Source organism: Homo sapiens, chromosome 6 (assembly GCF_000001405.40).
Source record: "Homo sapiens chromosome 6, GRCh38.p14 Primary Assembly".
NCBI lineage: Eukaryota > Metazoa > Chordata > Mammalia > Primates > Hominidae > Homo > Homo sapiens.
The window spans coordinates 90,557,989-90,570,984 of NC_000006.12; the positions used below are offsets into that span (position 1 = coordinate 90,557,989).

The following is a 12,996-nucleotide window of genomic DNA, read 5'->3' on the forward strand; positions in this document are numbered from 1 at the left end:
CTGACCACAGAATCTGTAGGTTTTCCACTGACAATAAGATATAGCAGGTATTGGCCGGGTGCAGTGGCTCAGGCCTGTAATCCCAGCACTTTGGGAGGCTGAGGCGGGCAGATCACGAGGTCAGGAGATTGAAACCATCCTGGCTAACACAGTGAAACCCTGTCTCTACTAAAAATACAAAAAATTAGCCAGGCATGGTGGCACATGCCTGTAGTCCCAGCTACTTGGGAGGCTGAGGCAGGAGAATTGCTTGAACCCGGGAGGTGGAGGTTGTAGTGAGCTGAGATTGCGCCACTGCACTCCAGCCTGGGCGACAGAGCGAGACTGTGTCTCAAAATAAAAAATAATAATAATAATAAAAATAATTAAAAAATAAAGATATAGCAGGTATTCATGTATGTCCAATTATATATAAAATCATAGCCATTCCAAAGAATTTCTTTTACCCAGTACTTTCTGAACTAGAATCAATTCTGATTCTAAAGTCCAACTTGTATACCAGGGGCTCCAAAGACGATTTGCAAGATGAATCCAATCATGGAGAGGCCTGGAATAAATGACCTAGACCAGACCTTCTGTAAATATGTTAATGGTATTTACTAGCAAAAGGAGAATCTCTATCTACAAATGATTTTAGAAGGATATATCTGGTCTAACTAGGTTGATTAAATAAACCTAAAATTCATGGGGTGTAGTTGGATGAAGATTAGGGATAGTCATTTAAACCATGTAATTAGTGCAATGTAAAAGATGTTAGAAAATGGAAATGACTTCCTTTTGTAAGATATTTCTCCATATATTGTTCAATAACTAATCATTTATTCCAAAGCCAAAACATACTGTAACGAGGAGAAAAGGGATACTTTTGGGTGTTGCATCAGATGCGTTCAGACTCTTTTAGGAAAAGAATGCTTTGGCTGTATCTGATGCTTGCCTATATCCTTTGGATCATTTGTCAATTTGTTGCTGGTTAAGAGCTGTGATTCTCATAAGTTTGCTTTAATAATTCAACTCTGTTAATATAGTGGAAAAAGGATGACTGAATATTCACAATGAAGAAAAAAAGGCTAAGTGATTTTTTCATTAGTTAAGGCAGGTAACTAAGATAATAGCCTCAGGAAAAATAAAAGCTTAAACATTATTTTATCAGTGACCTGGGGAAACAGAAATCAGTTTAAGTTTGGGAGTAGAGATAAGATACATAGCAAGAACAGTGATTCTAAGAGTTGGAACCTATGTAGAGTATATCAGATTAGACCTGAGAGTGACAAGTTGCACCCAGAAGGGATGTTTTAATGCTTTAACCAGTATCAAGAGAATGGAATAACTGAAGACTATACTGATTTCCTAAGGGAAACCTCTTCTGTAAAGACTAATGTGCTGGGGTGGGAGCTTGGGGGGAGGGTAAAGAAGATACGTGGAGACTATTTTTACTGTGTCACAGGTGCATAAAAGAAAAAAAAAGAGAGAAAAGGAAACAATATGTTTTATGTGTATGTTTTCTTTAACTGAATACCTATACAAACAAAACCCCCAAAGTTTTAGTCTTTTAAAATACTTATCTAAGGAATTTATAAGTTTTTTAAAGTCCCAAGTATTCACATTATGAAGAATCCAGAATATTTTCAATTTCTACCCAGATGCCAAGAAATGCCCTTTTACTTTCCTCTGAAAGAGCAAGTAATAACAACTCTGCAAATTTCTGTAGAATGTTTATGTGCTAGGTGTTAGGGACACAGCAAGAAAAACGTCAGACCTATCTCTGCCCCCAAGGAATTGTCTAACAGCAACATTATATACTGCAGGCACAAAATGAGATTTTTATAGGCTAACAGATTCTAGAAGTATGCTAATCTAAGGTAGAGGTTACCAAAAATAAAAATCCCACTAAAGACAACATCTAAAATACAAGCTTAGATAAATGACTAAATGATGAAGGTGAGTTAAAAGTAAACACTGAGTAAGCCAAATAGAGAAAAGAGAAACTCCTGTACAATAATGAGCTTGAATTAGAGAGTGGGTTCGGGGTGGTGAGAGTGAGAGAGAAGGAGGAAGAGGCTGAGGGGTGTCACATTATTATAACTTACTTTGGTGGTTTCAGGTCCCTGTGAATTAGCGCTTTGGGTTGCATGCTGTGAAGATAAGCCACTCCTTGGGAACACTGTAAACACCAACTCATTGCGTGGGCAGCAGTATAATATGGCAATGGTTCAGCACCATGCAGCACTGCGAAAGAAAGGCACAAACTAAAAAGAACTTTATTGCATATAACAAAAGACACAATGTGAATGCAAGCACTATCAGAACACATGACTGGGTATTTTTCTACATATACATATGCTCCATCAGTCCTGCTTTTAATTTTTTACTTTCTTTTTTCTTTTTGTTTTTTGAGACGGACTCTCACTTTGTCGCCAGGCTGGAGTGCAGTGGTGCGATCTTGGCTCACTGTAAACTCCACCTCCTGGGTTCAAGCGATTCTCCTGGCTCAGCCTCCCGAGTAGCTGGGACTACAGGCGTGTGCCACCACGCCCAGCTAATTTTTGTATTTTTAGTAGAGATAGGGTATCACCATGTTGGCCAGGATGGTCTTGATCTCTTGACCTCATGATCTGCCTGCCTTGGCCTCCCAAAGTGCTGGGATTACAGGAGTGAGCCACCATGCCTGGCCTTTTAATTTTTCTTCTAAATAAAAAGGATGAAAATATCTACTAATTTTGAGTGGATAATTGCCATGATATTAACATTTAATAGTACATCTATTAAATGTTATTCCTACATTGAAGTAAAATCAATATACATTACCACATTTTTTCAAACAGATAAAGACTTTTATAAAGTAATATAAATTATGAGCAGTCTTATGGCACACTACTACAAGAGAGAGGCAGAGAACAGTACAGAAAGAAACAAAACAATGTATATCAAGATGTTTGCACCTGTATTTTCTGTAATGGCTAAAAACCAGAAGTAGTTCAATCAAATAAGACAATGGGGTATTAGATATCCATCACAATGATGAACACATGGGCAGTAAATATAAGTAAAAGTTTACATAAAATAATACTAATTAAAAAATAAAATGTAACAATTTGTTTTATATAACTGGTGCTACAAGAGACAATACATTTCTGCATATGGTTGGTATTTTTAGGGTAAAAGAACTCTGTTCTCCAATGTAACTACACAAAGTTTTTTTTCATTACTACAAATAAAAGGTTGTGTGAAGTGAGTTTTCACATTTTTTTTTGAAAAAAAAGAAAAAATAAAGCAGAGTGAAATCGAAATATGGTTAAAGAATTCTAAAATGAGGAGGCTCAAAGTTATGAGAGGGCAAAAAGAAAAAAATCTGAAGATATTTTAAAATCTATTTAAAAAGTAAACTTTTACTTAAATGCTTTTAATGAAATGCAAAGTACCATCTACTTAAAAAATTGATAGACCTCTAAATTTCACATACTAATGTTATAGAATCTTATCTTTCCATTTTTATTCTTAGCAGATTTTTAAAAATTATGCCCTTTTGGGACTCTGACGGCAAATTGTGAAGAATGTTAAACAACTTAGGGTTTATATTAAAATTTTTCAAATTATTTTAATCCACTAGATAAAGACAGGTCTAATGACACTCACCATTATATAAAGAGCCCCCTTCAGCATATTCCATCACAAGACACACCTAAAGGAAACATATATCAGAAGCATTAACCAAGAAGCTCCATCATCTTAGGGCCTTTGAGAGAGAATTTAATTCACTCCCCTGATTTTATAGATATATTAAAAATCATTCTTTTGGCCCCTACTATGTGAATAGTACTAGGGAAGGAAAAGGTATCTATGACCTAAGACTAAGACTGTCTTCTAGGAGTCCACTAACAGTGAAGATGTATGTAAAATACAATCACAGGATATTCTGGGGACTTTCTCCAGTGCCAGTAAGTAGGTGCTGCCACAGGACATCAAAAGCCTCATAAGAAGATGAGGTTATTGGACAAAATCACCTAAAAGAACTCTTCCGATACAGTTTTGCTAAAAGACTAGAAACAAGTCAAATGAACAAACTATAACTGTTCTTTCAGAAATACATCTAAGATAGCAGATCAAAATAGCTACATAGGAGGTTCCAAGATGGCCAAATAGGAAAAGCTCCAGTCTACAGCTACCAGCGTAAGCGACGCAGAAGATAGGTGATTTCTGCATTTCCAACTGAGGTACAGGGTTCATCTCACTGGGGCTTGTCAGACAGTGGGTGCAGCCCATGGAGTGTGAGTCGAAGCAGGGCAGGGCGTCGCCTCACCCGGGAAGCACAAGGGGTTGGGGAATTCACTTTCCTAGACAAGGGAAGCTGTGACAGATGGTACCTGGAAAATTGGAACACTCCCACCCTAACACTGTGCTTTTCCAACGGTCTTAGCAAACACCACACCAGGAGATTATATCCTGCACCTGGCTCGGAGGGTCCCATGCCCACGGTGCCTCACTCACTGCTAGCACAGCAGTCTGAGATCCAACTGCAAGGCGGCAGCGACGCTGGGAGAGGGGCGTCTACCATTGCTGAGGCTTGAGTAGGTAAACAAAGCAGCCAGGAAGTTCGAACTGGGTGGAGCCCACCACAGCTCAAGGAGGCCTGCCCGCCTCTGTAGACTCCACCTCTGGGGGCAGGGCATAGCTGAACAAAAGGCAGCAGAAACTTCTGCAGACTTAAACATCCCTGTCTGACAGCTTTGAAGAGAGCAGTGATTCTCCCAGCATGGAGTTTGAGATCTGAGAACGGACAGACTGCCTTCTCAAGTGGGTCCCTGACCCCTGAGTAGCCTAACTGGGAGACACCTTCCAGTAGGGGCAGATTGACACCTCATACAGCCAGGTGCCCCTCTGAGACGAAGCTTCCAGAGGAAGGATCAAGCAGCAACATTTGCTGTTCTGCAGTATTTGCTGTTCTGCAGCCTCTGCTGATGATACCCAGACAAACACGGTCTGGAGTGGACCTCCAGCAAACTCCAACAAACCTGCAGCTGAGGTCCTGACTGTTAGAAGGAAAACTAATAAACAGAAAGGACATCCACATCAAAACCCCATCTGTATGTCACCATCATCAAAGACCAAAGGTAGATAAAAACCACAAAAATGGGGAGAAACCAGAGCAGAAAAGCTGAAAATTCTAAAAATCAGAGCACCTCTTCTCCTCCAAAGCTCCTTGCCAGCAACGGAACAAAGCTGGATGGAGAATGACTTTGATGAGTTGAGAGAAGAAGGCTTCAGACAATCGGTAATAACAAACTTCTCCAAGCGAAAGGAGGATGTTTGAACCCATCACAAACAAGCTAAATACCTTGAAAAGAGATTAGCTGAATGGCTAACTAGAATAAACAGCATAGAGAAGACCTTAAATGACCTGATGGAGCTGAAAACCATGGCACAAGAACTACGTGACACATGCACAAGCTTCAGTAGCTGATTTGATCAAGTGGAAGAAAGGGTATCAGTGATTGAAGATCAAATGAATGAAATGAAGCAAGAAGAGAAGTTTAGAGAAAAAAGAGTAAAAAGAAACAAAGACTCCAAGAAATATGGGACTATGTGAAAAGACCAAATCTACATCTCATTAGTGTACCTGAAAGTGATGGAGAGAATGGAACCAAGTTGGAAAACCCTCTTCAGGATAATCCAGGAGAACTTCCCCAACCTAGCAACGCAGGCCAACATTCAAATTCAGGAAATACAGAGAACGCCACAAAGATACTCCTCGAGAAGAGCAACTCCAAGATACATAATCGTCAGATTCACCAAAGTTGAAATGAAGGAAAAAATGTTAAGGGCAGCCAGAGAGAAAGGTCGGGTTACCCACAAAGGGAAGCCCATCAGACTAACAGTGGATCTCTCAGCAGAAACTCTATAAGCCAGAAGAGAGTGGGGGCCAATAGTCAACATTCTTAAAGAAAAGAATTTTCAACCCAGAATTTCATATCCAGCCAAACTAAGCTTCATAGGTGAGGGAGAAATAAAATCCTTTACAGACAAACAAATGCTGACAGATTTTGTCACTACCAGGCCTGCTGAACAAGAGCTCCTGAAGGAAGCACTAAACATGGAAAGGAACAACCGGTACCAGCCATTGCAAAAACATGCCAAATTGTAAAGACCATTGATGCCAGGAAGAAACTGCATCAACTAACAAGCAAAATAACCAGCTAACATCATAATGACAGGATCAAATTCACACATAACAATATTCACCTTAAATGTAAATGGGCTAAATGCTCCAAATGAAAGACACAGACTGGCAAATTGGATAGAGAGTCAAGACCAGTAAGTGTGCTGTATTCAGGAGACTCATCTCACGGGCAGAGACACACATAGGCTCAAAATAAAGGGATGGAGGAAGATCTACCAAGCAAATGGAAAACAAAAAAAAGGCAGGGGTTGCAATCCTAGTCTCTGATAAAACAGACTTTAAACCAACAAAGATCAAAAGAGACAAAGAAGGCCATTACATAATGGTAAAGGGATCAATTCAACAAGAAGAGCTAACTATCCTAAATATATATGCACCCAATACAGGAGCACCCAGATTCATAAAGCAAGTCCTTAGAGACCTACAAAGAGACTTAGACTCCCATACAATAATATTGGGAGGCTTTAACACCCCACTGTCAATGTTAGACAAATTAACGAGACAGAAAGTTAACAAGGATATCCACGAATTGAACTCAGCTCTGCACCAAGTGGACCTAATAGACATCTATAGAACTCTCCATCCCAAATCAACAGAATACACATTCTTCTCAGCACCACATTGCACTTATTCCAAAATTGACCACATAGTTGCAAGTAAAACACTCCTCAGCAAATGTAAAAGAACAGAAATTACAACAAACTGTCTCTCTGACCACAGTGGAATCAAACTAGACTCAGGATTAAGAAACTCACTCAAAACCACTCAACTACATGGAAACTGAACAATGGACTACTGGGTACGTAACGAAATGAAGGCAGAAATAAAGATGTTCTTTGAAACCAATGAGAAGAAAGACACAACATACCAGAATCTCTGGGACACATTTAAAGCAGTGTGTAGAGGGAAATTTATAGCACTAAATGCCCACAAGAGAAAGCAGGAAAGATCTAAAATTGACACCCTAACATCACAATTAAAAGAACTAGAGAAGCAAGAGCAAACACATTCAAAAGTTGGCAGAAGGCAAGAAATAACTAAGATCGGAGCAGAACTGAAGGAGACAGAGACACAACAAACCCTTCAAAAAAAAAATCAATGAATCCAGGAGCTGGTTTTTTGAAAAGATCAGCAAAACTGATAGACCACTAGCAAGACTAATAAAGAAGAAAAGAGAGAAGAATCAAATAGACACGATAAAAAATGATAATGGGGATATCACCACCAATTTTACAGAAATACAAACTACCATCAGAGAATACTATAAACACCTCTATGAAAATAAACTACAAAATCTAGAAGAAATGGATAAATTACTGGACACATACACCCTCCCAAGACTAAACCAGGAAGAAGTTGAATCCCTGAATAGACCAATAACAGGCTCTGAAATTGAGGCAATAATGAATAGCCTACCAAACAAAAAAAGTCCAGGACCAGATGGATTCACAGCCGAATTCTACCAGAGGTACAAAGAGGAGCTGGTACCATTCCTTCTGAAACTATTCCAATCGATAGAAAAAGAGGGAATCCTCCCTAACTCATTTTATGAGGCCAGCATCATTCTGATACCAAAGCCTGGCATAAAAACAACAAAAAAAGAGAGTTTTAGACCAATATCCCTGATGAACATCGATGCAAAAATCCTCAATAAAATACTGGCAAACCGAATCCAGCAGCCCATCAAAAAGCTTATCCACCACGATCAAGTTGGCCTCATCCCTGGGTTGCAAGGCTGGTTCAACATACACATATCAATAGACATAATCCATCATATAAACAGAACCAATGACAAAAACCACATAATTATCTCAATAGATGCAGAAAAGGGCTTTGACAAAATTCAACAGCCCTTCATGCTAAAAACTCTCAATAAACTAGGTACTGATGGGACGTATCTCAAAATAATAAGAGCTATTTATGACAAACCCACAGCCAATATCATCCTGAATAGACAAAAACTGGAAGCATTCTCTTTGAAAACTGGCACAAGACAAGGATGCCCTCACTCACCACTCCTATTCAACATAGTGTTGGAAGTTCTGGCCAGGGCAATCAGACAGGAGAAAGAAATAAAGGGTATTCAATTAGGAAAAGAGGAAGTCAAATTGTCCGTTTGCAGATGACATCATTGTATATTTAGAAAACCCCATTGTCTCAGCCCAAAATCTCCTTAAGCTGATAAGCAACTTCAGCAAAGTCTCAGGATACAAAATTAATGTGCAAAAATCACAAGCATTCCTATACACTAATAACAGACAAACAGAGAGCCAAATCATGAGTGAACTCCCATTCACAATTGCTTCAAAGAGAATAAAATACCTAGGAATCCAACTTACAAGGGATGTGAAGGACCTCTTCAAGGAGAACTACAAACCACTGCTCATTGGAATAAAAGAAGACACAAATAAATGGAAGAACATTCCATGCTCATGGATAGGAAGAATCAATATCGTGAAAATGGTCATACTGCCCAAGGTAATTTATAGATTCAATGCCATCCCCATCAAGCTACCAATGACTTTCTTCACAGAATTGGAAAAAATTACTTTAAAGTTCATATGGAACCAAAAAAGAGCCCACATTGCCAAGACAATCCTAAGCCAAAAGAACAAAGCTGGAGGCATCACGCTACCTGACTTCAAACTATACTACAAGGCTACAGTAACCAAAACAGCACGGTACTGGTACCAAAACAGAGATATAGACCAATGGAACAGAACAGAGCCCTCAGAAATAATACCATACATCTACAACCATCTGATCTTTGACAAACCTGACAAAAACAAGAAATGGGGAAAGGATTCCCCATTTAATAAATGGTGCTGGGAAAACTGGCTAGCCTTATGTAGAAAGCTGAAACTGGATCCCTTCCTTATACCTTATACAAAAATTAATTCAAGATGGATTAAAGACTTAAATGTTAGACCTAAAACCATAAAAACCCTAGAAGAAAACCTAGGCAATACCATTCAGGACATAGGCATGGGCAAGGACTTCAGGACTAAAACACCAAAAGCAATGGCAACAAAAGCCAAAATTGACAAATGGGATCTAATTAAACTAACGAGCTTCTGCACAGCAAAAGAAACTATCATCAGAGTGAACACGCAACCTACAGAATGGGAGAAAATTTTTGCAATCTACGCATCTGACAAAGGGCTAATATCCAGAATCTACAAAGAACTTAAACAAATTTACAAGAAAAAATCAAACAACCCCATCAAAAAGTGGGCAAAGGATATGAACAGACACTTCTCAAAAGAAGATGTTTATGCAGCCAAAAGACACATGAAAAAATGCTCATCATCACTGGCCATCAGAAAAATGTAAATCAAAACCACAATGAGATACCATCTCACACCAGTTAGAATGGTGACCATTAAAAAGTCAGGAAACAACAGGTGCTGGAGAGGATGTGGAGAAATAGGAACACTTTTACACCGTTGGTGGGACTGTAAACTAGTTCAGCCATTGTGGAAGACAGTGTGGCAATTCCTCAAGGATCTAGAGTAGAAATACCATTTGACTCAGCCATCCCACTACTGGGTATATACCCAAAGGATTATAAATCATGCTGCTATAAAGACACATGGACACGTATGTTTACTGTGGCACTATTCACAATAGCAAAGACTTGGAACCAACCCAAATGTCCATCAATGATAGACTGGATTAAGAAATTGTGGCACATATACACCATGGAATACTATGCAGCCATAAAAAAGGATGAGTTCATGTCCTTTGTAGGGACATGGATGAAGCTGGAAACCATTATTCTGAGCAAACTATTGCAAGGACAGAAAACCAAACACCACATGTTCTCACTCATAGATGGGAACTGAACAATGAGAACACTTGGACACAGGAAGGGGAACATCACACACTGGGTCCTGTTGTGGGGTGGGGAGAGGTGGGAGGGATAAGCATTAGGAGAAATACCTAATGTAAATGACGAGTTAATGGGTGCAGCACACCAACATGGCAAATGTATACATACGTAACAAACCTGCACGTTGTGCACATGTAACCTAGAACTTAAAGTATAATAAAAAAAGATATCAAAAACAAGTAAGTAACTCAATAAATACATAAAGAGAAAGAAAAAAATAATAATATGGGAGCAATGCCACGGTGCTGTATTCTCACTATTTAGAGTGTGTTGGTGACATATTGTGCGTGTATAATAGCCACATGTACTCATATAGTCCTTGAACTATTGGGATCACTGCTGATATTTTAAAGTATTGGAGGTACCTTTTTATCTTGAAAAAATATAATATTTTTGAAAAACTTAAAAAAAACAAAAAAACCCAAAAATAGCTACATAAACTACACACACACATCTGCCATGTCATTTCTCACAGGTGACCATGAAAAAGTAACAAACTTACTGGATTCAAGCAGGCTCCATAAAGCTTTACAATATTAGGATGGTTCACACGGGATAACTGCCGAAGCTGTTAAGAAATTAAGGTTTCTTTTAAAAAGTGATAACTTTTGAAGTACTGATTTCACAGTATCATTAAAATCTTACTGTTGTACAAAACATTTGTTTAAATCATTCAACAATCACTATTTACTATGTAACAGGCATTGCAATCATAGTCACTGAAAATACCAAGTGACTGCCCAGAATGGCACAGAATCCCTGTTCTCCAGCTCATACAGTTTAGCTGGAGAGATAGACATCTAAACAAATAATTAAATCAATGTGCAAAGTGCTATAACAGGAGTTATGAACAAGGCACGATGAGTATATAGAATAAGAAGAGATGAACTCTGCCAAGAAATGTTAGGATATGATCCCAGAGATGGTACTGAGCTGCATTATCCAAACCAGACGTCATGCTATCATTGTTATCATCTTCATAGCTATAGTTGAACAGTCTAGCTACTCTGCGTGGGGCCCTAATGTGCACTTTATAGATATTGTATAATTATCACAACTCCGCAAGGTAGGTATTATCATTTCCATTTTAAAGATGAGATTTTAACCTCAAGTCTCAGAGAGGGTTGAATGACCTGTTCTATAGCTAAGAAGTGGGGTGTGAACTTTAGTCTATCTGACTTAAAATGTGCACTCCCTCTGTATACTTGCCTCCATTCCATTTCTCATTTCTTGAATTAATTCTCTCCTCTCCATTCCCACTGCCATTGCCTTAGTAATCCCAACCTGAACTGCTGCAGTGATCATTATAGCCTACTAGCTGGTTTCCCTCTTTCAGTTTTAATCATCCCTGATCCAATGATCCATACAGAGGTCAATGAGGGGTTTGGCTATACTCACTTCTCTTATTCTAGATCTCAAACTTCTTTCTTTCTTTCTTTCTTTTGAGACAGGTTTTGCTCTGTTACCCATGCTGCAGTGCAGTGGTACAATCTTGGGTCACTGCAACCTCTGCCTCCTGGACTCATGCAATCCTACCTCAGCCTCTGGAGTAGCTGGGACTACAGGTGCACAGCCACCATGCCTGGTTAATTTTTGTATTTTTTGTAGAGATGGGGTTTTGCCATGTTGTCCAGACTGATCTCAAACTCCTGGGCTCAAGCAACCCATCTGCCATTCCCAAAGTTCTGGGATTACAGATGTGAACCATCATGTCTGTCTTCAAACTTCTTTCTATTAATGCATCCCGCTCCACAGCAAACTGCTTCTTGCTCATTCTTTTCTCCCTTCTCCTCTCTTTTCTGCCCTTTTTCCACTCTTCTTCCTCTTCTCTATTACATACATTATGCTGCTGGCTCATATTCAGTACACTAATGTCTCTAAACCTTCATACTGTATGCTAATAAAAAGCTCTATCTATCTAGAGCCAACATGTGTGGATTTTTCGTCCAATAGAATTAGTATCACTATTTATTATATTTATTTACTATATGAAAATATATTTACTATATTTCATCTTGCTAAGGTTCAGCACTGAGATTCAGATAGCAGATTATACAAGCATTTTTTCCTCCTCTCTCCCTAATTCCCACTAAGATGGTAAAGATTTGAAAAATTTTAAGGCATAACCTCAGAAGGATGAAGAGAATGCAAAGTGCACAAACAGCATACATTTTTGGAAGCTGGAAAGCAAATGACTAGCAATAACTGATAGAGCAGACCTAGAAGAGCTGCATCATAAACTGGCAATGAGAAAAATGGAGAAACAACCAGATTTATCTCACAAAGCTTCCAAAAGGTTGGGGAGTGGCAGCAGAATGAGGTACCTATGCAAATGAGCTAATCAAAGGATAGGGCAGGGGACAGTGTAAAAGACTCAAAGATTCCTTCCTTGACTTCAAACAGCTCAATGACTATCTCTTATCATCCCAGCAGAAGACTAGAGGTTGATTCTTTAGAGAAGGGGTAATAAACAGCATCTGGACTGGGGACACCAAACATGAAGGAATGAGCTCAAAGTAGTTGTCTTTGGGAAGCAGAAAATTAGATTGGAGGAGGTACAGGAGACTGAAGTCTTTTTTACTAAGAATTTTTGGAGAACCATTTGATTTTTTACATTACATGCACATCTCATCTGGATTTAAAAAATTTTCTTCACGCTATTACGATCTTTTTGACTTGTGATTCCTAATGTTTAACACATATGCTATTTCACCCAGCTTTGTGAAACTGCTAATGTAACAGGAAATGATCAATAGCTTTATCTAAACTGTAATAAAAATATTGCATAAAACAAAGCTGAGGCTAGACTCCTAGAACATATTACTAGAAATCATCTTTCTTCATGCTGACATCAAATCACTTATCAGCATTTCTCAACTCATTCAGCCACTTACAAATCACTTTCTCATATCACAATTAAGTCCTCATT

General features: G+C 38.7%; 1 protein-coding gene across 5 annotated transcripts in view; it reads right to left on the reverse strand.

Moving 5' to 3' along the window:
- MAP3K7 (mitogen-activated protein kinase kinase kinase 7) overlaps positions 1–12,996 on the reverse strand; it is a 73,494-nt gene that overhangs the window by 44,410 nt on the left and 16,088 nt on the right. For 4 of the 5 annotated variants that reach the window (NM_145333.3, NM_003188.4, NM_145332.3 and 1 more), the window contains exons 3-5: positions 10,570–10,635; positions 3,634–3,679; positions 2,088–2,226 (exon numbers count right to left, since the gene is read on the reverse strand). In NM_145333.3, coding sequence (NP_663306.1) covers positions 2,088–2,226; positions 3,634–3,679; positions 10,570–10,635 — 251 coding nt within the window. Of the gene's footprint in view, positions 1–2,087; positions 2,247–3,633; positions 3,680–10,569; positions 10,636–12,996 lie in introns of those variants that run through there. The other variant, XM_006715553.4, reaches the window with a different exon arrangement.